The 26,231-nt window shown below is 39.1% G+C and overlaps 1 protein-coding gene and 1 long non-coding RNA gene across 66 annotated transcripts in view; one reads left to right on the forward strand and one right to left on the reverse strand.

Moving 5' to 3' along the window:
• The window catches only part of DTNA (dystrobrevin alpha), a 398,533-nt gene that overhangs the window by 222,702 nt on the left and 149,600 nt on the right, over positions 1–26,231 (forward strand). The window lies entirely within an intron of this gene.
• Positions 20,380–26,231, reverse strand: part of DTNA-AS1 (DTNA antisense RNA 1) — a 31,274-nt gene continuing 25,422 nt past the window's right edge. Inside the window, exons 1-2 of one of the 3 annotated variants that reach the window (NR_199048.1) lie at positions 22,597–22,758; positions 20,380–21,867 (exon numbers count right to left, since the gene is read on the reverse strand). This is a non-coding gene — a long non-coding RNA (DTNA antisense RNA 1). Of the gene's footprint in view, positions 21,868–22,508; positions 22,759–26,231 lie in introns of those variants that run through there. The other 2 variants (NR_199047.1, NR_199046.1) reach the window with 2 other exon arrangements.

The raw sequence follows: 26,231 nt of genomic DNA on the forward strand, positions 1-26,231 counted from the left end.
CACTGCTATCATATAGCAGTGTACACTGGGTGCAGGTGGGGAGTTGATCAAGCTGGCAATGTGTAGCAAAGTCTTTAAAAATTGCATATCCTTGGGCCCTACAGTTCTACTACTAGGAATATGTCCTAACAAAATAAATAGTCTAACGTATTTACATAGTTTTTCGTTGTTTCAGACAATAGCAGTCTGAAAAAGAAAATCCAAGAAATATAGAAAACACATGAGCTCGTATTTCCTCTCTAGAAGCTATAAAGCTGTAAGAAGTCGGCCGGGCACCGTGGCTCACACCTGTTATCCCAACACTTTGGGAGGCCGAGGCGGGTGGATCGCCTGAGATCAGGAGTTGGAGACCAGCCTGGCCAACGTAGTGAAACCCCATCTGTCCTAAAAATACAAAAAATTAGCTGGGCGTGGTGGCAGGCGCCTGTAATCCCAGCTACTTGTGAGGCTGAGGCAAGAGAATCGCTTGAACCCAGGAGGCGGAGGTTGCAGTGAGCCGAGATCACACCATTGTACTCCGGCCTGGGCAACAAGAGTGAAACTCCATCTCAATTAAAAGAAAGAAAGAAAAAAAGCTGCAAGAAGTCATAGACATGGCTATATGCTGGTCTAACTGTTGACTTCCCAACTCTTTAGATGGAACATGTATAGGCAACATGGTGTAGAAAAAGAGTCTTGGCTTAAGAATTGGAATGCCTGAATCATGCTACTAACTAGCTGAGTTAATATAAATATGCAAATTTATGAAATTATTAAAATAATAATGTTAAAGAGTAGAAAAGTCTGTGAATCCCTTTACCCATGTATATGTGTTTGTCTTCACCGCTGATTTGCAAATAAGAAGTCTCATATCAAGTGGGAAGGGTAGATTTTTATAATTTCACTGAAATTCAATACCAAATGGTAAAATCTGGAATGCCTTGACTGTGAGAGAAAATAACAAAATATTTTAAATAGGGTATACATTCCAATTATTAGTTTTTGAAATTTATTCTAAAGAAATTTCTGCTCATATAAGGATGGGCAGAGGATAACTGGGCTTGAATAACTGGGCCACACCTACATTTAGGTGTGGTGGAGAGGCAGAGCTCCAGAGCAATCTGTTCAAAATTCTGTGATGCTGGAAATGCTCTATATCTTCTTAGTCCAATATAGTAACTACTAGCCACATGTGGCTATTAAACACTTGAAAGGTAGCTAGTGCGACTGATGAAACAGATTTCAAATCTTATTTAATGCTAAGTAATTGAAATAGCCACGTGTGTCTAGTGCTATCTTAATAGACAGTGACACTCTAGAATTAAGCACAACAAATAGGGTCTTTTATTTAATATCGGAGGTTAATTTCAAGCACCTCTGCTAAATTCGGATGATATAGATAGGACAAGAAGGTGAGTATTCTTTGTGCAATTTCCCTTTTATCTACAGAAATACAGATCAATGAAATCCTTTGATTCTAGTGACTGCAAGTCCAAGATTTTCCAGAGAAGTGTTGGTCTCAAGTAGTCTGTAGTTTTGTTTGCTTAAGAATTTTAATGCTCATTCATTTTCTCATTTATTTTTTTTAAAAAACCTTATATTGAATATATTTGTGTTGGACACTGACATTGAAAAGATAGTAGTAGTGCAGAGTTCCTTGATTCAGGAAATCCTTGGAGTATCCTAAGGAGTAAATGGTGCAGAGCAGATATTACAGAGGAGGGGAGAGAAAATGCTGTGTGGAGAAGGAAGCACTGGGATAAACCTTAAAGAAATGGCCAGTGTTCAATAGGAAGCTGGGGAAAGGAGGATCTTGAGAAACAGAACAGTATGGGAAAACCAGGGAGAGATGAGAATCAGAAATGTCTGGAAATGTAATAATGGCAGCAGCACAGAAAATAGACTAGTGTGTAGACAGAAATGAGTCCAGAAGTTAATGTTACAATCCAGAACAAGTATGAGGGAGGTTATGAGCTAAGGGGATGAAAGTAGAATTTAAAAAGAGTAGATTTGAGAGGTGTTTTGTCTGTTGCTTCTCTTTACAATAAGTCAGGTAGAGAACAACTGATTTATCTTTTAAGCCCCCTTGAAAATTGTCGATTACTGCATACAATGCTGGAGCAGGATTTTTGTGGCCAAGGAAACTGAGCGTATCTTACAATATGCAAGTTTTTCAAACAGGACCAACTTACATAAATCATCCTCTTGGAAGTAGGCGCAACTACATCATGTATGTAGTTGAAATGTATGACACATGACAATTTTGTTTGGGGATGTAATGTAACTGAGGTGGAAACTTAATATTTATGAGACTTCCTCTTTCGTTAAAATCTTAACATTCTTTGATTTTGACAAATAGTGTTTTTATTTCTTCCAAAAATACAAGAATTTTAAAAGTATATAATTAGGCATCGTTTAGAAAGGTCAAAAAAGCAATCGTCTGTTGAATTTATGATTTGGGTACATTATTCTTCTCCAGTCTTTACCCCATTTTGATGGACTTTTTTCTCTTGGCAGTATATCCAGGTTCATTTATAGGTGGGAAGACAGTAGAAGCTGTTATTCCAGCATCAAAGCCCCCACTGTTTTCTAATAAGACGTTAGGTTTTATTTCTTCCAAAGCCTTATGATCACTGCAGTCAAAAAAAGAAGGGTGGAAAATGCAGAAAAATGGTGGAGGAGGTGGAGTATGGTCTTGGTCATAAAGAAATGAAAGGAGAAAGGTATTACTGAAGAGTATGGGCATTAGTCTGACTGTAAGGAGGACTTTGGCAGTAACTACAAGCCAGAGTGAGTGAGGAAAGAATAGCAGCCATTTGGGCAATGTGCTGACCATGTGTGGCTTGATACTAGGAAACCTGAACATACAGCAGGACAGAGAGGAGCACATCATGTGAGAGTTCCATGAGTTCTCGGATTTAAGAAAATAGAAGACTTTCTAAGTGCCAGATACTGTTCTAAGTACTTTTTGTTTAACCTATTTAAGGCAATTAACCCTTTTTTTTTGGAGAACAGTCATAGAACATGGAAATCACTGAAGAAATGTAAGTAGTGGTGGGATGCAGTGGCTCACGTCTGTAATCCCAGTACTTTGGGAGGCTAAGGTGGGTGGATCACCTGAGGTCAGGAGTTCAAGACCAGTCTGGCACCAACATGGCGAAACCCCGTCTCTACTAAAAATACAAAAACAAAACAAAAACTAGCCAGGCATGGTGGTGTGGGTCTACTGTAGTCCCAGCTACTCAGGAGGCTGAGGCAGGAGAATCACTTGAACCAGGGAGGTGAAGGTTGCAGTGACCCCAGATCGCACCACTGCATTCTAGCCTGGGTGACAGAGTGAGACTTCATCTCAAAAAATAAAAAAATAAAAAAATAAGTAGTTATTATCTCTCCATCAATCCTCACAACAACCCTATGAGCAGGGTACTTTTACCATCTTTATTTTACAGATGAAGAAATTAAGGCCCGAGAGGTTAAGTAATCCCCCAAACAGCATACAGTTAATCAGAGAGAGCTCTATTTAATCAGCTCAACTACTACGCCATCCTGCCTACTCTTAATCTATGTTAATTTTATAATATGTACAGAGATGATACTTGTAACGTGCTCACAAAGTGCCTGACATATAGTAAACCTGCAAAAATGTTAGCAATTATCATTATGTAATAAGATTTAGAAGACTTTCCGGTATTTATGTCATTCTACACCGACACTGCTCAGAAATAGTAACAAGATTTTTAGGGCAGCTCTGGATTTTTCTTATGTAAAGTGTAAAGAAAGCTTTGTTTAGGAGCATGCCCTTATAAATTGGAGAAACTCTTCTTCTACCCAAATACTGTCAATCAGTTTGACTGGCACAGTTGAAGTTTTTACCTCAAAGAATGGGCCTCATTGAAATGTTCTATATACTCATCTACATGGCTCTGACCTTCTGACAGAGAATGACTGCTGCTAATGGTACTAATAAGAGCAAATGGAATTCCCTTCCAAGCTTGGTATTTGAATAATATGTCAATTTGTTCATTGCCGTCTTACTAGGAATTAAATGCGCTAATATTTTTATAACCTAAGGGAGCTAGTGCGAGGTTGGCAGCCAGAAAAGGGAATCAGGCCAGAGGCTGGCCAAGGCATAGTCATGAGGGGGTGGAAGGGTCACAAAGTCAAAGTCAAGCAGGTGGACCCAGGCAGAACCCAACCAGACTCTAGAACAAAGTTAGGTTCAAAGTTTGGTTCTTATCTCCTTTCCCTATAATGTGGGCTGGTAGGGGTGGGTTGATTGTCATCCTCTGTACAAAAAGAATTGTATGGAAAATTAGCTGGCTCTGAAATCTAACTGAAATAAGAAAGTCAATAAAAGCATAATTAAAGATACTTAAACATTGTAGATACAGGCAATGAAAGAACAATGCCTCTGTTGTACTGGATTTCCAGCAGGGAATGATGCTGTTTGGGTTAAGACACAGGTAAGGCAGAGGAGCTTTGAGAATACCATGGCTCAGGAAGGAAGAAATGTGAGAAAGCTAGAGAGGTACAGGAGACTACAGAGGAGAAGGGAAAGGCAAAATCTGGATTCTGAGTAATCAGAAGTTGTCGTCTGCTTTGGTGGCTCCTATAGTTCCCTTTGTCTTCATCAGTGACCTGAGAATTCACAGGGTTTTCACCAGTAATGTCACTGGGCAAGTGTGCCAGGCCGACCACCCAATAAGAGGACAAGGAAGAGAGAGTGGAAGGATCAGCAGAACTGTCACCACTCTGATTCTGTGGTGTGGGAGCTGGGGATGTGGGGTGGGGAATCTCTCTCTAGAGGTTTGTTCTCTGCTGTGTTACTCCCATCTGTGATGGCTTTTTCTCCATGAGCTTAAATGGTGATGGTTTTCTTCCAACTATTAGGGAATACATTGATAATGTTAGTGATTCATAGAGTGTCTGAAATAATCTCTGCAAATGTTATGTGTAGTTGGTTATCTGGAGAAGTAACAAGCTTTTATCAACCATAATAACTAAATTTGTATGGTGATTTACTGTTTGCAAAATATTCAATTATGTTATATTTGAATCTCCCACAATCCTAGGAGGTTGATGACACCATCAATTCCTTTATAAGGATGAAGGAAATCAAGCTCAATTACTTTCCTAGAGGCACTGGGTTTGATAGCAAAGCACAAATTTTAATTTACTGGTTTACTAATGCATCCTGCTTCATTCAACACCTCTTCACCTTTAAAAGTAAAAATTGTCTCAGTGATAGCTATTTACCTTTAGAAAATGGCTATTACAAATAAAGAACTCTTACATTTACTCAGATTGTTCAGATTAAATTCTCCCTTTAAACATACTTTCAAGGTAGTTTATGTACACAGTAGGTATTTAATAAGTGTTAACTGCTTGATTATTGTCTCTTTGTACTCCTCCAGAGCAATCATTCTGATTCTCACACACTGGATTAAAAGGTTGTTTATTTTGGAGTAGAAGGGAATACTCTGCAATTACAACTCCCAACATGGGAAACTAATGAAAAAAAACAAACAAACAAAAACGTGACGCAGTTCTTTTTAACTTAAGAAAATAATCTAGCTTCTAACATATAAATGAGTAGACTTAAAATAACTGGACAAAGCCAGAAGGCAACAAGGCAGACAACTTATACTTAGGCAAAACTAATCAAAGGAAATTATCATGAGCCCCAAAACTACTCTGCTTCTCATATCCATGCAACACCCAAACAATATACAATTTTATCTTGCCTATGAAATTCCCAAGTATATTCCTACGTATGTGTTTGTCTTTGTACCACACACTGTCTGTATTCTTTAAAAACCTTCCCTTACCTGACATTGCCCTTGAGTTTAGTTATCTTCCTTGCCTATCGGAGACATAAAAAATACTCTTCCCCTGGCTAATGCTCTGTGAGAACCAGTGATTAAAGTCTGGGCAGGAGAAAAGAAGTCGGGGCATATGATTGTCAGTATTAGGGTTTTCCGGTTTGGCTAAAGTGAAGCTCCTTACTTCAGCTAGTATTGCAGCTATTTGAGCTCCCCTTTCCTTATACTCCTTCCTAAAATGTTTAAAAAAAGTCCAAATTGCAACATTTATTACCTTTCTCATTTAAAATTGTATTAAAATAATCCTTTGGGTTTAAATATTATCTTCTGTTAGTAATGCTAAGATCTGAGATTCTTTTGATTAGGTTAAGGTTAGGCAGGAAAGGAATATTAAAATAAAGAAGAATGTCACTTGCTAGCTATTAAATATATTATAAGCTATAATCACAATTAAGTTGAACTATAATTTAAAAGGGTGTTAATATAGACAAACCCTGGAGTATAAACAAATACTTGCATAGGTATCAATATATGCTAGACAAGGCTGTGCATAGCAACAGGAAAGATTATTATTATTATGCAGTAAAATACTACTGGGAAGGAAAATATTTTCATTCATACTACAAAATGAATTCCAGGTAAATTAGAGTTAAATACTTACTATAAATCAAATTATAAGGATTAATAGAAAATATACAGGAATTTTAAAAGAGCTTTATTGTGATATAATTGATAATGAACTAAACTATTTAAATTGTACAAATTAATAGGTTTTGACATATATATATACATACACACACACACACACACACACACATATCCTAAGCCATCTTTAGAATCAAGATAGTGAACATATTCATCACCACCAAAAATTTCCTCAAGCTCCTTGGTAATGCCTCCCACCTGTCCCTCCCCCATCCCAAGCAACCACAAATGAATTTTCAGTCACTATAGATTAGTTTGCATTTTCTAGAGTTTATGTAAATGGAATCAGACAGTACATACTTTTTTGGTCTGGTTTCTTTCACTCAGTATAATTGTTTTGTGACTTATCTACATTGTGTGTATCAACAATGTGTTCATCTTTCTTACTTTATTTATTGTTTATCCATTCATCTTTGATTAACATTGAGGTTCTTTCTGGTTTTTGACTATTACGAATAAAGCTACTATGAACATTCATGTGAAAATGTTTCAACAGATACATATTTTCTTTCCTTTTGAGTAAATGTCTATGGGAATTTTAAATGATCCATGAAAGAAAAAGGACTTTATAAATATAAGAATTAAAAGTTCACCATGGAAAATCATTATATTTGACAACATTAACATTTTAAATTACTGCAACTCAAAAAAAAATGTTCTTAACCAAACTTCAGGTTAAATGATAGTCAAAGAAACTGTATAAGTAATAGCTAACAATGATAAGAACTTGCCATAAGCAAAGCATCGGCAACTCTGTCTGATCTATCAGTTGATCTTCACAACAGTCCTAAAAGGTTAAACACTATAGTGCCACATCCTGTGTACTTAACCACTGTTCAGTGGTGCCTCCCTGTGTGGAGAAGGAGTATATATTATACATAGACGGTATATTTGTCAAAAAAAGTTTAATATCCAATCGTAGGAAATTATGTGAAACATAATAGAAATAATTTATATATTGTATATCTCTGAAATAAATATGTGAGACCATATGTCAATAACCTAAATATAATTTGTGCAAAATATGTAGGAGAATACAAAGGCAATAAAATGGGCAAGGGACATAAGATGTTCACAACTAAAAAAAGTAAAAATAGGGCCAGGCACGGTGGCTCAGGCCTGTAATCCTAGCAATTTGGGAGGCCGAGGCAGGTAGATCACCTGATGTCAGGAGTTCGAGACCAGCCTGGCCAGCATGGCAAAACCCCATCTCCACCAAAAATACAAAAATTAGCCGGGCGTGGTGACGGGTGCCTGTAATCCCAGCTACTCAGGAGGCTGAGACAGGAGAATTACTTGAACCCAGGAGGCAGAGGTTGCAGTGAGCCAAGATCGTGCCACTGCACTCCAGCCTAGGCAACAAGAGCGAGATTCTGTCTCAAAAAAAAAGAAAAGAAAGAAAGAAAAAAAAACTATGAAAAATATTAAACTTCACTCTTAATCAAATACATTCAAAATAAAATCAAACTGTGACACCTATCAAATGAGTGAATATTCTTAGATATGTTATTGTCAGTTTTTATTGCTTTATTTTAATAGTAGTAATATGTAATGTTAGTGAAGTTGAAAGCCATTCTCACACTTTATTGGTGGTGAAATATAAATTAATACAATCATTCTGGAAAGCAATTTGGCATATCAGTATGTATCAATGACTTGACAATAATTATGCCCTTTGATAAAAGATTTTATTTTTGAAATCACCTGAAGCAATAACCTTAAATGGATACAAAGAGTTATGTACAGAATGTCTTTTATAGTGTGATATAATGTCTTATAACAGGAAAATGAATAGCTAAAGTCATTTCATAGCTAAAAAATCCTATGCAGCTACTAAAGCGGTGTTTACTAAGCATTATCATAAACTGTTGGTAGAAGTGAGAATTACTACAAATTTATTGAACAGCAGTTTGATAATTTTTAATGTTTTTAATTTATAAAGAAAACAGGTTTATTTGGCTCGCAGTTCTGCAGGTTGTACACAAAGCATAATGCCAGCATCTGCTCCTGGCAAGGGCCTCAGGAAGCTTGTAATAATGGTACAAGGTGAAAGGGAAATAGCATATCACATGGCAAGAGAGGGGAGAGGTGCCAGGCTCTTTTAAACCAGCTCTTGGTGTGAATTGATACAGTGAGAACTCTCTCATTACAGTGAAGACAACACCAAGCCATTCATGACAGATCTATCCCTAAACACTTCCCACTAGGCCCACCTCCAACATTGGAGGTCACATTTCAGCATAAGATTTGGAGGGGTCAGATCCTAGGCAAAAAGAACAAAGCTGGAGGCATAACACTACCTGACTTCAAACTATACTATAAGGCTACAGTAAACAAAACAGCATGGTACTGGTACCAAAACAGATATATAGATCAATGGAACAGAACATTGATCAGAAATAACACCTCAGAAATAATACCACACATCTACAACCATCGGATATTTGATAAACATGACAAAAACAAGCAATGGGGAAAGGATTCCCTATTTAATAAATGGTGCTGGAAAAACTGGCTAGTCATATGCAGAAAACTGAAACTGGACCCTTTCTTTACACCTTATACAAAAATTAACTCAAGATGGATTAAAGACTTAAACCTAAGACCTAAAGCCATAAAAACCCTAGAAGAAAACCTAGGCAATACCATTCAGGAGATAGGCATGGGCAAAGACTTCATGACTAAAACACCAAAAGCAATGACAACAAAAGGCAAAATAGACAAATGGGATCTAATTAAACTAAAGTGCTTCTGCACAGTAAAAGAAACTATCAACAGAGTGAACAGGCAACCTACAGAATAGGAGAAAATTTTTGCAATCTATCCATCTGACAAAGGGCTAATATCTAGAATCTACAAAGAACTTAAACAAATTTACAAGAAAAAAAAAAAACAACCCCATCAAAAAGTGGGCAAAGGATATGAACAGACACTTCTCAAAAGAAGACATTTATGCAGCCAGCAAACTTATGAAAAAAAGCTCATCATCACTGGTCATTAGAGAAATGCAAATCAAAACCACAATACGATACTATCTCACACCAGTTAGAATGGCGATCATTAAAAAGTCAGGAAAAAACAGATGCTGGAGAGAATGTGGAGAAATAGGAACACTTTTACACTGTTGGTGGGACTGTAAATTAGTTCAGCCATTGTGGAAGACAGTGTGGCGATTCCTCAAGGATCTAGAACTGGAAATACCCTTTGACCCAACAATCCCATTACTGGGTATATACCCAAAGGATTATAAATCATTCTACTATAAAGACACATGCACACGTGTGTTTATTGCAGCACTGTTCACAATAGCAAAGTCTTGGAACCAACCCAAATGTCCATCGATGATAGACTGGATTAAGAAAATGTGGCACATATACACCATGGAATACTATGCAGCCATAAAAAAGGATGAGTTCATATCCTTTTCGGGGACATGTATGAAACTGGAAATCATCATTCTCAGCAACGTAACAGAAGAAGAGAAAACCAAACACTGCATGTTCTCACTCATAAGTGGTAGTTGAACAATGAGAACACATGGACACAGGGAGGGAACGTCACACACCAGAGCCTGTCGGGGAGTGGGGGGCTGGAGGAGGGATAGCATTAGGAGAAATACCTAATGTAAATGACGAGTTCATAGGTGCAGCAAACCCACATGGCACATGTATACCTATGTAACAAACCTGCACATTGTGCACATATACCCCAGAACTTAAAGTATAATAATTTAAAAAAAAATAAAAAGAAAGATTTGGAGGGATCAGAATATCCAAATCTATCATTCTTCCCCTGGTCCCCCGAATTTCATGTCTTTCTCACATTGCAAAATACAGTCATCTCTTCCTCATAGCCTCCAAGTCTTACCTCATTCCAGCATCACTCAAAAGTCCAAAGTCTCTTCTGAGACTCAAGGCAAGTCCTTCCACCTATGAGCCTGTAAGATAAAAATCAAGTTATTTGCTTCCAACGACAGTAATACTACAGGCATTGAGTAAACATTCCAAAAGGGAAAAATCAGCCTGAGGAAAGGAGTAAGAGGCCCCATGCAAGTCTGAAACCCAGCAGGGCTGACCTTAAACCTTAGTGCTCCAAAATAATCCTTCACTCCTTGTCCTGAAACCAGAGCACACTGGTGCAAGGGATGGACTCCCAACACTTAGGGCATCTCCACCTCCATGGCTATGCAGACTGCCACCGAGTGGCTGCTCTCCTGGATTGGAGTTGAGTGCCTGTGGCTTTCCAGGCTCAGGATGCAAGCTGCCAGTGGCTCTACCATTTTCCCAACTGAAGGACAGCAACCCCCTTCTCACAGCTCCACTAGGTAGTGCCCTGGTGAGGACGCTGTGTGGGGCTCCAACCCCACATTTCCCCTTAGCACTGCCCTAGGAAAGTATCTTTGTGGAGGCTCCACCCTGCGGCAAGCACCAAGGCTTTCCTCTGATACATCCTCTGGAATCTAGGTGGAAGCTGCCAAGCCTCCTTCACTTGTGCATTCTGTGTGCCTGCAGGCTCAACACAACGTAGAAGCCCCCAAGGCTTGCAGTTTGCACTCTCAGAAGCGGCAGCCTGAGCTGTACCTGAAGCCCTTTAAGCAAAGGCTGGAGCCCTAGCAGCTGGGATGCTGGGAGCAGTTTTCTGAGGCTTCACAGGGCAGCAGGGTCCTGGGCCTGGCCCCAAAACCCATTCTTTCCTACTGTGATCCTGGGCTGGTGATGGGAGGACTGTCCTGAAGCCTTCTGAAATGCTTTTAAGGCCTTTTTCCCATTGTCTTGGCTTGATAATATTTTTAATTTCCTTAAAATACTTATGACCATTGACTAGTAATTTTACTTTTAGGAATGTCTAAAATGGAAATATTTTTGGCCCAGAATTTATAAACAAGGATACTGATCCCAGTATTATAATATCCTTGTGAATCAAGGATATTGATTCACAGTATTGTGAAAACAAATTTTCACTGTAAAACAAACTAAATGCCCAACAATGAAGAACAAGTTAAATAAATTATGGAACATCTGCATGATGGAAACCATTTAAAATGTCCTTTTTTTTTCTTTGAGAGAGACAGTTTTGCTTTTGTCACCCAGGCTGGAGTCCAGTGCCTCAATCTTGGCTCACTGCAACCTCCACCTCCCAGGTTCAAGCGATTCTCCTGCCTCAGCCTCCGAAGTAGTTGGGATTACAGGAAAGTGCCACCTTCCCTGGCTAATTTTTGTATTGTTAGTAGAGACAGGGTTTCACCATGTTGGTCAGGCTAGTGTCAAAGTCCTGGCCTCAAGTGATCCACCCACCTTGGCCTCCCAATATGCTGGGATTACAGGTGTGAGCCACTGCACTCAGCGCCTAAAATGTCTTATAAAAGTGTTTTGTGAAAGAGGATATGTTTTTTATAAAATGCCATCTACTATCTAATCCTAATATTAAGAGGGAGGGGGGGAAAAGGCAAAAAATGATAGAAATAAAGCAAGGTATCCTTAATGACTGTCCATGGGTAATAGATTAATTTTCCTATCTTTACTTTCCTATGTTTTCTGAATTTTCTTCAGCAGATACGTATTACTTTCGCAATGTTGTGATATTAAGTTAAAAGTGAGAATTTGAAATTGCATACTCAATGTGAATGCAGCTACGTATAGAAGAAGCAAGAAGACTATCAGCTGCAATGTTAATAGTATGGTTTTTATCTTCTTTTGTATAATTATTGGAGTTTTTCTATATGTTAAGAAATCAGGACAAAAATGATTTTGACAAAGAAAGGACAAAAAACAAGGCCCACTTCTTAGTTTATGAAAAGCAGTATAGGAGAACAGAAGGGAATTATAATAGGCTCCTCCTGCTGCAGGTTTGAGAAATATCACTTCAACTAGTTTAAAAAATTTAAAAAAATAAAATAAATAATTTTTCATGCAGAAATATTTTACATGAAAAGTAAAATTTCCCCACCTAAAATTTCTATTCTCATCCCAGGATAAAACTGTTGAGGGCTTTATATATTTCCTTCCAGTACTTTTTTCAAAGAATATTATAAAATAAAGTATTTTTCTCAAAAAAAAATAAAAAGGAGGAATCAGCTTATGTAAATAACAAGGACTTGGGTACAGTTGGCTGCAGACTCATTTAGATCCAGAGGCCCAAAGGGCATCCCCAAGTTCTCTTCCCTGTTTCAAGGCTTTGCTTGTTTCTGCTTAGCTTTCTTCAGTGATTCCTACTCAAACACAAAACCAAACCTTATGCCTCTCACTAGCTCCTGGAAAGAGGCTTCCCAAACAGCAGGTAAGATGGCTGCCAGTAGCCCCCAAATCACACCCCACCAGCTTCACTTTCTGAGCAGGAGATTTTTCTTAATAATTCAAAGATCCCAGCAAGTAAGTGAGAAAGCCTGGCTTGGGGTGTGTGTACAGCCCTGAATGGTCACCATGGCCAAGTGGGTGGGGTATTCTGACACCCGGGGTCCCTTCAGTTGTGCACCTCTATGTCTGAAGGAAAACACAGGCAGCCCCACCACAATTACCTGGAAGAGAGTCCCAGAGAAGTCACAAGAAAAAAAAGAGGAAAGGGAATATTGAAAAGAGAGTATGATGTCAATGTCAATGGCAGGAACTCATAGGTATAATACCAAATGTCTTACAAAATCATCTTATTCAGTCAGTCCTCGTGGAATTATATAAGGAAAATTATTATGTGCACTTTCAAATAAGGAAATGGAGGGTAAGAAAAACAAGTTATTTGCTCAAGTACATGCAGGTAGTACCTGGCAGCAAGGAGATTTGAACTCAAGTGTGTCTAATGTCATTGCCAAACCTCCCCTCTAAAATGTTTTGTCTTCCTTGAGTTCTTATGGCTGCTTTACCTGCAATCAAGAGACAGAGAGAGACATTCTGTGTTTCTGTGTGTGAGAAATGGCACAGGGGCAACTAGAAGTTTTAATACCTTCCTGTAGGTGGCAGGTTGCTGCTCTCTCCTTCAGAACCCCGCTCTGAGGAAAGCTAAGGAAGAGAACAGGACGTCTGAGTGTGTGACTGAGGTAAAATGTTGTATATTTTTCACACTTTAAAATCAGATGTAGGATTCAAATAAACTAAAATAATTTAACACTCAAATTTTTAAAACTTCTGAAGGAGGCTGGGCACATTCCATATTGGGCATTCAAAGAGTATTTTCCACAGCATACGAGGCACTCTCAAAGATACAAAAGTAAACACACTCTAAATTAGGACACAAAGAAAAGATGGAAGATGGGAAATTCAAGGTGGAAAGACATAAATGGCAACCAGAAATAATAGTCATTGTAGATCTGGCAGTTCCCCAACCAAAGCAGACAATCTGAAAGAAACCTAAGGTTATTTATACCTGCTGAGGATTTACTCTACCCAGTGATTAAACCTCCAGGACACACTAGATAAGTCTAGAAGAGCTTTAAGACTTCAAGATTTGTGTTTTCTTAACCTTGCTGTTTCTTGTCCTTGGTTCTGCATGAAAAAACTCATCTCTCCACAGTTCCAAGGAATAATTCCAAAAATAAATGTAGGCATTTGCTTGAACCAGGACATTGTGTCCCCAGTTTTCTTTCCGAAGCCTACAGGATGTACGAGTTGCTCTTGAAGCCTGTCTGCAGCACAACAAATCCAAGTTCTGCATTTGCTCCCCAGCTGAGTGACTGCACTGGGCAAAGCTGCACTTAACAGATAATACCCATGGGGGAACTGCTGGGTGAGGAATTTGTAGTGAAAAGCACTGACAACAGCTTGAGATTTATTTAGCACAATTTATTTAGTTCTTCATTCAGAAGAAGTAAAATTCCATGCATGAGGTAATGTATGCAAAAGTGCTTTAAACTTGAAGTGTTAAAGCAGTACACAGTTGTTGGGGGCTCTGATGTGAGAATGGCCAGCCTGTTCTCTGGTTAGTCTGGAGCTAATTCCTTCAAGAATCACAGGTCAGAAGTGTTGCATTGTGGCCCCTTGTTCAGTCTTGGCAAAAACTGAGGGAACATGGCAAAGTGGGAAGAATATAGACCTTGGAGTCAGATTTGGGTTCAAATATAGTAATTTTCATGGCTCTGGGACCTCTCTGTGTCCATATGTCCTCATTTGGATAACCCAGTTGTCAGCTGGGACTTCCTAGCCCCTTGAGGGCTCACATAAAGTTGGCTCAAACCAATTCGAACCCTTTTCACCACCTTTGGGAATACTGGAGTTACTGTCCCCTAACCTGTTATTCCTCTCACCCTAATATCTATGCACATTGTGTTCTCTTTTCCCCCTTTATCAAATTGCAAGTGAAACTCTGTCCCCTCACTGGTGACCACCAAAGAGCTCACTCATGTTGGTGTGTCCAGTAACTTCACTGAAGGTTTGGGGTTGGCAAGGACTGGTGTGGGGAGGCTCACAGCCTTTGATGTCTCTCCAGAAACCTCTATCTGCTTTTTTCACCCTTCACATATGCCTCCAGATAGTTTCCTAGGAACACAAATATTTTCCCTCTTACTATGCAGAGAAATTTAGCTCTCTTCTGTTCTTGTTCCAAGTTTTCATACTCAAATGCATCAAGATGCCCAGAACAAAGGGTCTTCCAATGGCCTCCTCTGAAAGCAAAGCTATAAATAGAAAAAAAGGGTTATCTGTTATCTTTTGAAAATGGTGATAATTTCTACCTTGCTATTTTTCAAGATTTGTGGCCGGGCGCGGTGGCTCACGCCTGTAATCCCAGCACTTTGGGAGGCCGAGGCGGGTGGATCATGAGGTCAGGAGATCGAGACCATCCTGGCTAACAAGGTGAAACCCCGTCTCTATTAAAAATACAAAAAATTAGCCGGGCGCGGTGGCGGGCGCCTGTAGTCCCAGCTACTCGGGAGGCTGAGGCAGGAGAATGGCGTGAACCCGGGAAGCGGAGCTTGCAGTGAGCCGAGATTGCGCCACTGCAGTCCGCAGTCCAGCCTGGGCGACAGAGCGAGACTCCGTCTCAAAAAAAAAAAAAAGATTTGTGCGAATTTTAGATAAAAGGGATATACAATACTTTGCACAAAGTACAGCACATAGCAAGTGCATAATGAAGAAATGATGATGATGATGATTCTGTATTGGGTAGCCAGTGTTTGCAGTAACTGTACTTCTTTGAGTATCACTTATCACAATTATAATTAATTATTTGTGTAATCATCTCTTAATGTATGTCTCCCTGAAGTTCCCTGATGGCAGAAACTGTTTCTGTCTTGTTTACCTGTGTGTCACCAGTGCCTTGTACAGTGCCTGGCCCACATATTTAACTCTTTATTGTATTAATGAATAGATAAATGGTCAAATGGAGAGTGTTAAATGTGGAGAGTTTTTCTTTCTTTACAGTTTTAACTTTATAGGGGAAAGAAGTGACAGGGCAGGTGAGGGATGGTGAAAACTCTGAAGATGTTGGAACATTGTCAGCTGTCTAAGTGTTTGGGAAAGATTAGCAGAGACTCCATTTCTTTATTCACTCATTCTTTCTGTGCATTTTCTACTCTCACCACCAAATCAGTCTCCTCCCTATCCAAGTTCCATTTATTAGTATCCCTGAAGCTGAAAAGAAAAGAGAATATTTATTTGCCTGTTTCCACACTGTCTCACTAACACCATGATCATTACATTTTCAGACTAGTCCAGTGAAACCTACCTTACCCATAATTTATTTGAAGTAGTTTATTTTTCCCCCTAATTTTCTTCATGGCAGGTATTTTGTTTTTCAGCTAACTTGTTGGATTGCCTACTAATCTAACTTTAGTGTTATAGCTTTTTCTGAAGAGGACAATGTGCTCTGTGCTGTAATGAAGCTTGTAAATTAACTCTAGGAATATAACTCATTCTTATACAGCAGAGTCACCTGTATATGCCAAGACAGCGTGATCCAAAGCAAAGACACTGGATTTGCAGTCACCTTCCTCTGCGATCCTCCTTTACTTATCTAAAATGAGAAGCCTGGGCTAAAGAAACAAATGTCAAACAGTAGCAAAGGATGCAACCTGGACTGAGCTGGGTTCTATTCTCCTTCCCTGTGAGAGCACCTCCCTGCTTACGTTTTAGAAGCTTGGCTCAGGTTATGGAATTCATTTGAATTTTTAAAAATCCATGGCAAAAATAAAAATCAGCAAGCTGGAAAAGACATTCTTCTATAATCCCAAGCAAAGAAAATTAAATCACACAACAAATATTTTCTAAGTCTAAAGTGCTATGTTAGTAGGAATATTAGATAAAGCACATGAGGCTCAGTTAAATTTCAATTTCAGATAAATGGTGAGTATTTTTTAGTGTAAGTGAGTCCTATTCAACATTTGCGATATACCTGTTGTTGGGGTTCTGACAGCTGCTAAGTATGTCTATGCCAATTATGCATTCTGGCACTGGGGAAATGACCACAGGATGAGTCCGGGGATCCTCTGGACTCACTGTAAGTCAGACCTGAGATAAAACTCCATTAATTACCTGACCTCCATAAGTCCCTATTTTAACTGGAGGACCACAGTGACGTTTTGGGTCCCCTGCAATCAATGTCAGCTCAGAGCCAATGTCCAGTAGTCCCCGAAATATCTGATCACTTCCCTTTCCCCAGTGCACAGTTACCCTGGTTAAAGGCTGGAGGTCTCCTTGGGGAAGAATGGGAGAAAGATTCACTGCATAAATTGTCAGTAATGTAGTGGGGTCTTTCCTCAAAAGGAGCCAGCCTCCCCTTCATTCGAAGGCTTCTGGGTCTGCAAACTGGCTCAAGTCTGGAAATTGATTGAGGGGCTGTGATTCTCTGGTTTTATAATTCAAATTAGTCTTCTGTCCATTCGACCTAGAAGTTTTCTTCTTGTATAAATTAAGTAGGAATGCAGTAGGCTTCCTATCAGTTTCACTTCTAGGAACACCGTGATTAATTAGCCAATGCCAGAGTGCTACACAAGTCAGATTATTCTGATTGCAGGTCTGCTTCTGCTGTCCATTATGGTAGCTATGCCCACCGTGCCTTTGATGGTTGAGTGCCAACTTGGACCCTGCCACCTTGGGATCCAATTATTCCCACTGTATTTAAATTTTATAATTGAGTGACTGCGGTTACCACCATTAGATCTGACATACAGAGAAGAGCAATTACAGAGCTCTTCAAAGATGCAGGTGCTGCCCTCACAAATCTATTTCACAAGGCATTGGTCAAGGGTATATCTTCTGGACCCTCCCAGCTGTGATGAGTAGGTCTAAAGTGACTAATCCACTCCACCATCCCAATCTCCCTAAGCCTTTGGATCCCTTCCTTTATGTTAAACCAAGGGAGATCAGGCATTTCCAGCTCACTCACAGTGGGCCTCTTTTAATCCATATTTCAGCTAACCAAGCAAATAAACTATTAGAATATTTTTTAACTCCCTGAGCTGCAACATTAAAGGCAGAGTTTCTACTTAGTGGGACCAAATTAATAAATTCAGCCTGATCCAACTCTATGTTCCTTCTATCATTATCCCACACCTTTAAAATCCATTCCCATGCCTGTTCTCCAGATTTTTGTTTATATAAATTGAAGAACTCAAGCAGTTCTTTTCAAGTGTAGAGCACCTCCTCATGGGTCACACTCTCAACCTCACCTCTAGGGGCTGCTGGGATTTTAGTCTAGTTATAGGTCTAGAAGCAAACAGAGGTATTGAGGGTGGCTCCTCAGGAGAATCAACATTATCTTGCTTGACAACTGCCTCAGGAGAGTCACTGTTGCCTCAGGCAGTGCAGGGTTTATCTCTTCAGACAAAGGTCGAAAGGCTGATGGCAGTATGGGTCAGGGAGGGGATGTTGACTCTACTGGGGATGGGAAAGCTCTTTCTTCTGGCAAAAAAAAGGTTCATCAGAGTTTACAAACTCAGTGTCCTCAGTTTCATCAGAATCTTCCCACACATCCCCATTCCAAGTTGCAGGGTCCCATTCTTTTCCAATCAATGCCCTCACTTTAACAGTAGTCACCTGGCGAGGCTGTGCATGCATCTTTCATTGCAGGTCAGCCACTTGCATGATAAGAGCTTGTCTGTTTTTCCACAATTTCAGCTCTTTCTCTACAGGAGATAAGACTCTCATTCAGGGCAATCTTAGCAGATTTGAGGCTCAGTGTCTGCTTCTGAAGCTGGGAGACAGAATCCCCCAGTTCATCATTTTCTTTCAACACTTTGTCCACTGAAGTTAGAAGTAACCAACCAGCTTCATTATGTTCCTTTATTCTCCATATATGGTCAAAGGTATTATGTATAGAGTCACCAAACTCCTTGCCTCTCAGGAGCAGTGAATCAGAAGTGTCAAATGCATTTATTTTGCATAACTCTCTAAACAGTTCACACCAAGGACTATCAGTGTTCTCCATACTATTAGAAGTAGAGTCCTTAGCATTTTGTGGTCTAATCATATTAAGCAGCCAACTCCAGAAGCCTCAAAACCAACGAAAGAACTCCATTCTTAATATTCTGTTCCTCTAGAACCACTCCTGTTACCAAAATCTGTATTAGTCAGGGTTGTCTAGAAGGACAGAACTAATAGAACATATATATACACACACATACACATATATATATACACACACACACACTCACATATATATACATGTGTAAGGAGAGCCAGTCCAAGTCCCAAAACTGAAGAACATGGAGTCCGATGTTTGAGAGCAGGAAGCATCCAGCACAGGAGAAAGATGTAGGCCAGGAGGCTAGGACAGTCTCTCCTTTTCACGTTTTTCTGCCTGCTTGTATTTGCTGGCAGCTGATTAGATTGTACCTACCAGATTAAGAGTGGATCTGCCTTCCCCAGCCCACTGACTCAAACGTTATTTTGGCAGCACCCTTGCAGACACAATCAGGATCAATAGTTTGTATCCTTCAATCCAATCAAGTTGACACTCAGTATTAACCATCACACCTATACTAAAAAACTGTTTGCCAAGTGTGGCAACCTTATATGCCAGGCTCTTAGGGACTAAAGGATGTGCATTATAAACCAAGAAGAGCACGAAGACATTTTTTAATGGATTCTTTTGCTGTTGATTTTCTTTTATTATTATTATTACCATTAGTTCATGTGGCTCTTTGCAGTTCATTGCATTATTTCATTGCCTGGCCTCATGTTGCAACACATTATCATTCTGTGGACCAGCCAGAAGAGGCAGCTTTCCCTGGACCTAACATTTTTATTTTCATTTTTAGTTCTGGGGTACATGTGCAGGATGTACAGGTTTGTTACATAGGTAAACATGTGCCATTGTGGTTTGCTACACCTATCAACTCATTACCCAGGTATTAAGCCCAGCATGCATTAGCTACTTTTCCTAATGCTGTCCCTCCGCCAACCTAACTGTTAAGGTGTACTCTTCACATAAGGTGGCTAAAACAGTGCATGAGAAGCTAGCCATTTCCTCACCTTCATCTCCTTTTGTTATCTCACACAGGATCCTCACCCAACTCACCCCCAGAGACACCACTTCTTTTGACTTTACTACTTTTGGAATTTATTTCTCATTCAAAAATTGAAGCCAATAGTGTTCGAAATGCATAAAATATACCTAGAGGACGTCTATACCATGAAGTTGGAAATTCTAGTTCAATGCCCTCCACGTGAAGAGCTCTCACAAACACTAATGACTGAGTACTGTAGTTTGTAGCTGCACCTTCAGATTAGCTAACACTGATAAGTATTATAAAGGAGAGCAATACCACATTAAACTCTGAAATGTTACTTTCCCTAATGAGTACTCACACACTACACATATGTATGCGTGCACTATTTGTCATTTGTTTCCATTTTTTAGAGATTTCATTTCTAAAAGCTGTAGGAGAATCTTTTCAAATGAATTATATATGAACCATAATTAATATGAATAAATCCGCTCATGCAAAACATTTCAGGATGTACATTTCCCATTTATATTATCACCAAAGGAGGAATTTCATTATTTTTCATACAGCTATTTTGTCATGGATCTTAAAATGGAGTCACAGATAAGAAGAAAAAATGGAAGATTGTACAGACAGAATCAAATTCCAGGTTCTAAAACTAGTAGGGTGGACAGCGAAGATAAAGTCAACTTTATAAAGATAAAAATCTCAGTATTCTGAAATTTAAGGCCTCATTTAAATGCCTTGAACTTCTTAGGATTAAAAGACATTTGCCCAGTGTGTTCTTGGGATATTCAAAATTGTGCATTAAAATAAACGTGATATTATGAACCTCCAAAAAGTGTTCATAGTACATTTTGGCCAAAAACTGTGTGAATCAACCAAGTCATTTGAGCATAGGTCCTGTTTAAAAGTAATGATGCAAAATTCAGTAATGAATTTTGAAAACCTAAAAATAGTCTGTCTTGTTCTAGAAATGACAAAACCTGGGGGATAACTTTGTTCTCATTCTTCATATAATTTGATCTTCCTGCTTTGCCACAGGGCATCAGTTTTGTGAGAAAGGCACATAGTGCAGGCAACATTTCTCACTTGGTATGGCTTGGGAAGAATGGGCTTCCTTCAAAACCAGGGAGTAGTGAAAGTTCATTTGTATTCATTTTTAAACAGATGTATAGTGAAAGTATTAGTATTCTAAGGATATTTGGATTCTTTGAAAATATTCAGTTATCCAAAATTAATAATTTGGGGCTTAACTGAAACAGAACGGTATATTTTATACATAAAAGGCTATCTTAATCATCAAAGGAAGAACTAGCTAATATGTATTAAGGAAATTGAGGCAAGCTGTACCTATGAAGGCTGTTATCTAAGTTCAAATCCACAAACAACATATAGTTTAAATTGTGAAATGATATATGTGTACAAAATTACTTTGTAAAGTGATTGTGAAGCCTCACCTAAGCGAAATAGTAATTATTTCTTCTAAAGACGGTCTGGTTCTTGCCACATTTTTCTGTCTCTTAGAAATATATTTGAAGCCATAAGGCTACAAATGAAAGAGTTCTCTCCTTTTCTTTCTAAGTAGTTCACTTAGCTCCAGCTGAATCATCTGTATAGTGTCCTCCCTCTTATGATGCATACAACCAAGGGATGCTTAGAGAAAGGGAGCCTCCCAATTCTTGGGAATAGGCCTCGATGTGTGAATTCTCACTTCCAGCCCTTCCAGGTCAAATCTTCCAAGTCTTTAGTCGCTCTCCCTCTCCGATTCATCCTGTGTGTTTACCGTTGGATTCATATTCTGTAATTACTGCTTGCATTGTTTAAGTCCTGTGCATAGGAGTCTTCGCAGAACTCTTTGTTTCCTCCACTATGAAGTATAAGCCACGTGACCCGGCTGTAGTCAGTGTAGTGCTCCCTAACTTCACTCATTTTAGGCACAAGTGGCACTAATGAACATCACAGAGACACGCCTTCATGAAACCGACAGTCCTATGAATAAAACAGACACCAACAAAAACAATTTCATGAAGATTTTATGACAATTGCAAAAACTGTTAGACAATTATGGGTATATTAGAGTATATACTAGAGTATATTAGAGAAATTCGGAAAAGCTGCCCTGTGGTAGACATGCCTATTGGAACTAGCCAGGTTTGGGGCTGAGAGGGGTTAGGATATCTATGAAGAGAAAAAGAGAATATTCCAAGCAATGGGATCAGCAGAAGCAAAGGCCCTGAGGCACATATGAGTGAACACAGAGACATGGGCCTGGGGGCCAGGTGGCTTGGACATACAAAGCCACTTTAAAGATTCGGGACTTCAAATTAAAGGCAGTAGGAAGTCCATCCTGCTTTTACTTGCCATTCTCTCAAAAAGCATCTTAGTTGACCCCAGAGGCCATCAGACACAACACGCATGTCTACTATAAATTAGCTCATGTAATATGAGCTGCAATAATAGAAGCATAATATCTAAACAGAGGAAGGTACACACAGTACAGGCCCAGCTAGCAAGAATATTCCAGGAGCCTCAGAAACAAAGCAACATAGTATGTTTACTTTGTTTAAAACAAAGATGCCCATATTGGCTTTTTGCCATTTAAAACATGATTTACTAAAAATCTAGATTACCAAGCAAACCAGGCTGAGTCCAGCTTTGAAGCTGGGCTGGAGGCCACCCTCCTTCTACTCCTTTCTCTTCACCCTGTTCCCTCTGCACCTCGGTCTCTTTATCCTCTTCTTCTATCTGCCGTCCCGATGTGACAAATCTCTCCCTGTGCTGTGTTCAGGGTTTAGGATGTCTGATAGAGGACAGCGCGTGACGGTGAGGAATGCCAGTCTGCTTAGTCATGCCTTTTTGCACACCTCTGGAGTTTTGTGCATACATAGCTAACAGTCTGGAGCTGCACATTAATGAAGGATTAGTGCAGAATGCATGCCTAGAGAAAGTTTCCGAGATCATGTTGCAAATCACTTTTGACAAGTTTTGCAGAGAAAAGCTGCATAATTCACTTGAACTGTTTTTACAACTTTTATTTTAGATTCAGAGGGTATATGTGCAGGTTTGCTACCTGAGTATATTGTGTGATATGATGCTGAGATTTGGGGTGTGAATGATCACCCATGTACTGAACATAGTACCCAAGAGTTAGTTTTTCAACCCTTTCTCCCCTTCCTCCCTCCCTGCTCTAGTAATCCTGTTTCTATTGTTGCACACCATGGAATACTACGCTTGAGCTTTTTAAACTAAAATATGCCTGGCTGATTCTCTGAGATTAGGATATAAGTGGGATTTATATTAAAAATAAACACATTTGTCCTTCTTTAAAAGTGACATATTTAAAAACTTAAAATAATTATCATTTTCTTTTTGTTTGGAGGTGCAAGGTCTAGTTCTTTTTCTTTTCTTAACTCTCACAAATAGTCTTCCCCTCACAGACCTCCATAAGATATTGGCATAATCCTCAAGTTTGGACAAACAAAGGCACATCATACTTTTAAAAGCTTTGTCATTCAAAAGTCTCATTTGCTTGCCTGCTTTGCAGACTATTAATGGACCTTGGGGAATAAAAACTGAAGTTTAAAACATTTCCAGACAGATGTGCCACAGAGCAATGATTTGCTTCCTTGAAAGGACTTCTGTGGACCCTTGTAATTATGACAATCACTTGCAAACTCCAAGTCTCTCATTCCTCACCTCCGCAATCCCTGACACTCCATATTCATTTCATGATAGGCATTCTAAAGTGTTTTTTACACTAGAAGGAGGAACTGGCTCAAAGAAATAGATCTCTAAATCAGAAAACAGAAAAACATCTCTAACCAGGACCCCAAAATGTTAAATTCTGGCTTTGGCTTTGCTGTTTCACTAGGCAGCCTTGGACCTTTTGCTTGACTTCTGAGTTTCATTGTTCTCATCATGTGACAATGCAAAGTAGGGAACAGTAGTACAGATACCTATTACTAGAGGAGAAGTAATGGTGAGAAACTTCTTGGTGTGACTCCATTATTCACACACCATTCTTGTTTGCCCTGACGTGTTATGCAGGTCTGGCTTTTATTTGAGATGTCCTGACCTTATATAAGAGATAGGACTGATTCAAGTTTCAAGCCTAATGATGTAACACCTCTCAGCTGGAAGGGAGCATCTCTGAGATTGATTCCTACACTGTGGGAGTTCCAAGTATATATTCATCACATATAATAAACTTCCTAAGTCCCAGAATCCCTTTCGCCACCTTTTGCTAGCTTTTATAGGACAGTTTTTTAGTAGTTATTTCTTAATCAGTGTCTTATCATTTCCAGGTAGTAGTTTAGACTCATTAAGCCTTTGAAGTTACTGGTGCTATTAAGTGCATCATTGCTCTGTGCATTGAAGGACAGTGAAGTGGTGGCTGCTTGTCTGTGTGCCCAGAACCATCAGGAAATGGCTTGAGTACCCCCTGGGAAAAAGGCTTTGTTAAAAAGGAACTGCTTGTTCACTCTGGGACACTTAGCCTTCTGCTTATTAGTCCTTTTGCTGTGTTCTTACCAGGTTGAGGGACACTTCTTTCCATAAATGCAGACACTGAAGCTGGAATCTGGAACATGTGTTTTCAGTATTTAGAGATCTGCAGAGTGGACACATACTGGCACATCACAAGCATGATTGTTATGGTCTCAAAAGTGTGGGAGGATCTCCCAATCCCAAGAGTTTTGAGAGCAGCCTGGGTGACATAGTGAGACCTTGTCTCTATGAAAAAACTTTAAAAAATAAAAATTAGGGCATGATGGTGCACGCCTGTGGTCCCCATTACTCGGGAGGCTGAAGCGGGAGGATAATTTGAGCCCAGGAGGTCAAGGCTGCAATGAACTATAATCACACCTCTGCACTGCAGCCTAGGTGGCAGGGTGAGATGCTGTCTCAAAAACAGGAAAAAAAAAAAAGAAAAGAAAGTGTCCACAGTAGTGTTAATGCTTTTTGGCTGCAAATATTTTGTTCATGTGCCACAGTCTTATTTTGTACCCTGGTGACTGTTTCTAGCAGTGTGTTTGTGGAGTGGAGGTGATTTGAGGCACAGGCATCATGAATCAGAGGAGCATGATGTATGTGTGGGTATTTTTATTTGTTCCATTTACAAACTCTAACTTGGTGGAATTATAATACAAAAATTAACTTTGTGTTCTCGTTCTCTGCGCAGGTCCATTTTCTACATAATCGTATTGTATATCACTTTGTCCTTTATATTATAGTAAGAATAACATAACATAATAAAAGGATGTGATATTTTAATTAGGTTAATGTAATTCACTGAGGTACTGGCTTTGGGGGATCATAAAGTTCCCAGGAGCAGGCACTTTATTTTCATACCCTTTGGCTAGCTAGCTACTTTTATGTTTCGTAATATTTGAACTAGAATAAGCAGGGTATCCTCCCATTCAGGCAGTCCTTGATATGTGGTATTGGGGTTACAATGATTCTTCTATCATGATAGCCACATATGTGGGCTGATATTTTAATAACTTCAAAATAATCTTTGCTATATTTACCTCTATTAAATTTGTTCATATTAATTAAGCAATCAGAGCTAACTAAATATATTGACACTTAAATGGTTTCAGAGTGTAGCCTAGCTAATTCTCTTCAGGAAACTCGAGATTCAAAAGCTTATGTCAATGGTAACTTTATGTCCAAGGATTTCATCACCAATCCTTTGGAGCAGAATATTCCTGGAGCCTAGTTGCTACAGTGAGTCCTGTGTGAGCCCTCTAGATATCTTCAAGAAGTACTGAGATCCAAAGTACTCAAATTTGAGTTTCTGTTTTATGCTGGCATTTATCAGATATGCAAGAAATATTCACTAATATTTATATCTGATATTAGTCAATATATTAGTCAGTACTTATCTGATATTGGTCAATTTATTAAATATTGAGTAATATCTGATACATAATAAATAATAGTCAAATATTAGTATATAACAATATGATGAAGAGGCTACAAGTTGGACCAAAGGTCAGTTAGACTGACGTGAGTTCAAATTTGAGTTATTTAAATTTGAGTTCTTTAAATTTCACTTCTCTAAGCCTGAGTTTCCTCATCTACAAAATGAGGATAATAACACCAACTAACTTGAAGATAAAATTAAATAATTAAAATTAGGAATCACAGTAGGCCTGTCTAAAGGATATTTAGGAGGTAGTAGAGTCTAAGGAGGATTAGGGAGGTAGTGCAGCCTGATGGCTAGGAAGCCTTAGGAGAGACTTCTTAAGTACAAATCCTGGTTCTCTGGCTACCTGCAATGTGATCTTGTGAAAGTTTCTTAACTCTTCTCAGTTGTATTAGTTTCCTCTTGTTGATCTAACAAATAACTA

Source organism: Homo sapiens, chromosome 18 (assembly GCF_000001405.40).
Source record: "Homo sapiens chromosome 18, GRCh38.p14 Primary Assembly".
Taxonomy (NCBI): domain Eukaryota; kingdom Metazoa; phylum Chordata; class Mammalia; order Primates; family Hominidae; genus Homo; species Homo sapiens.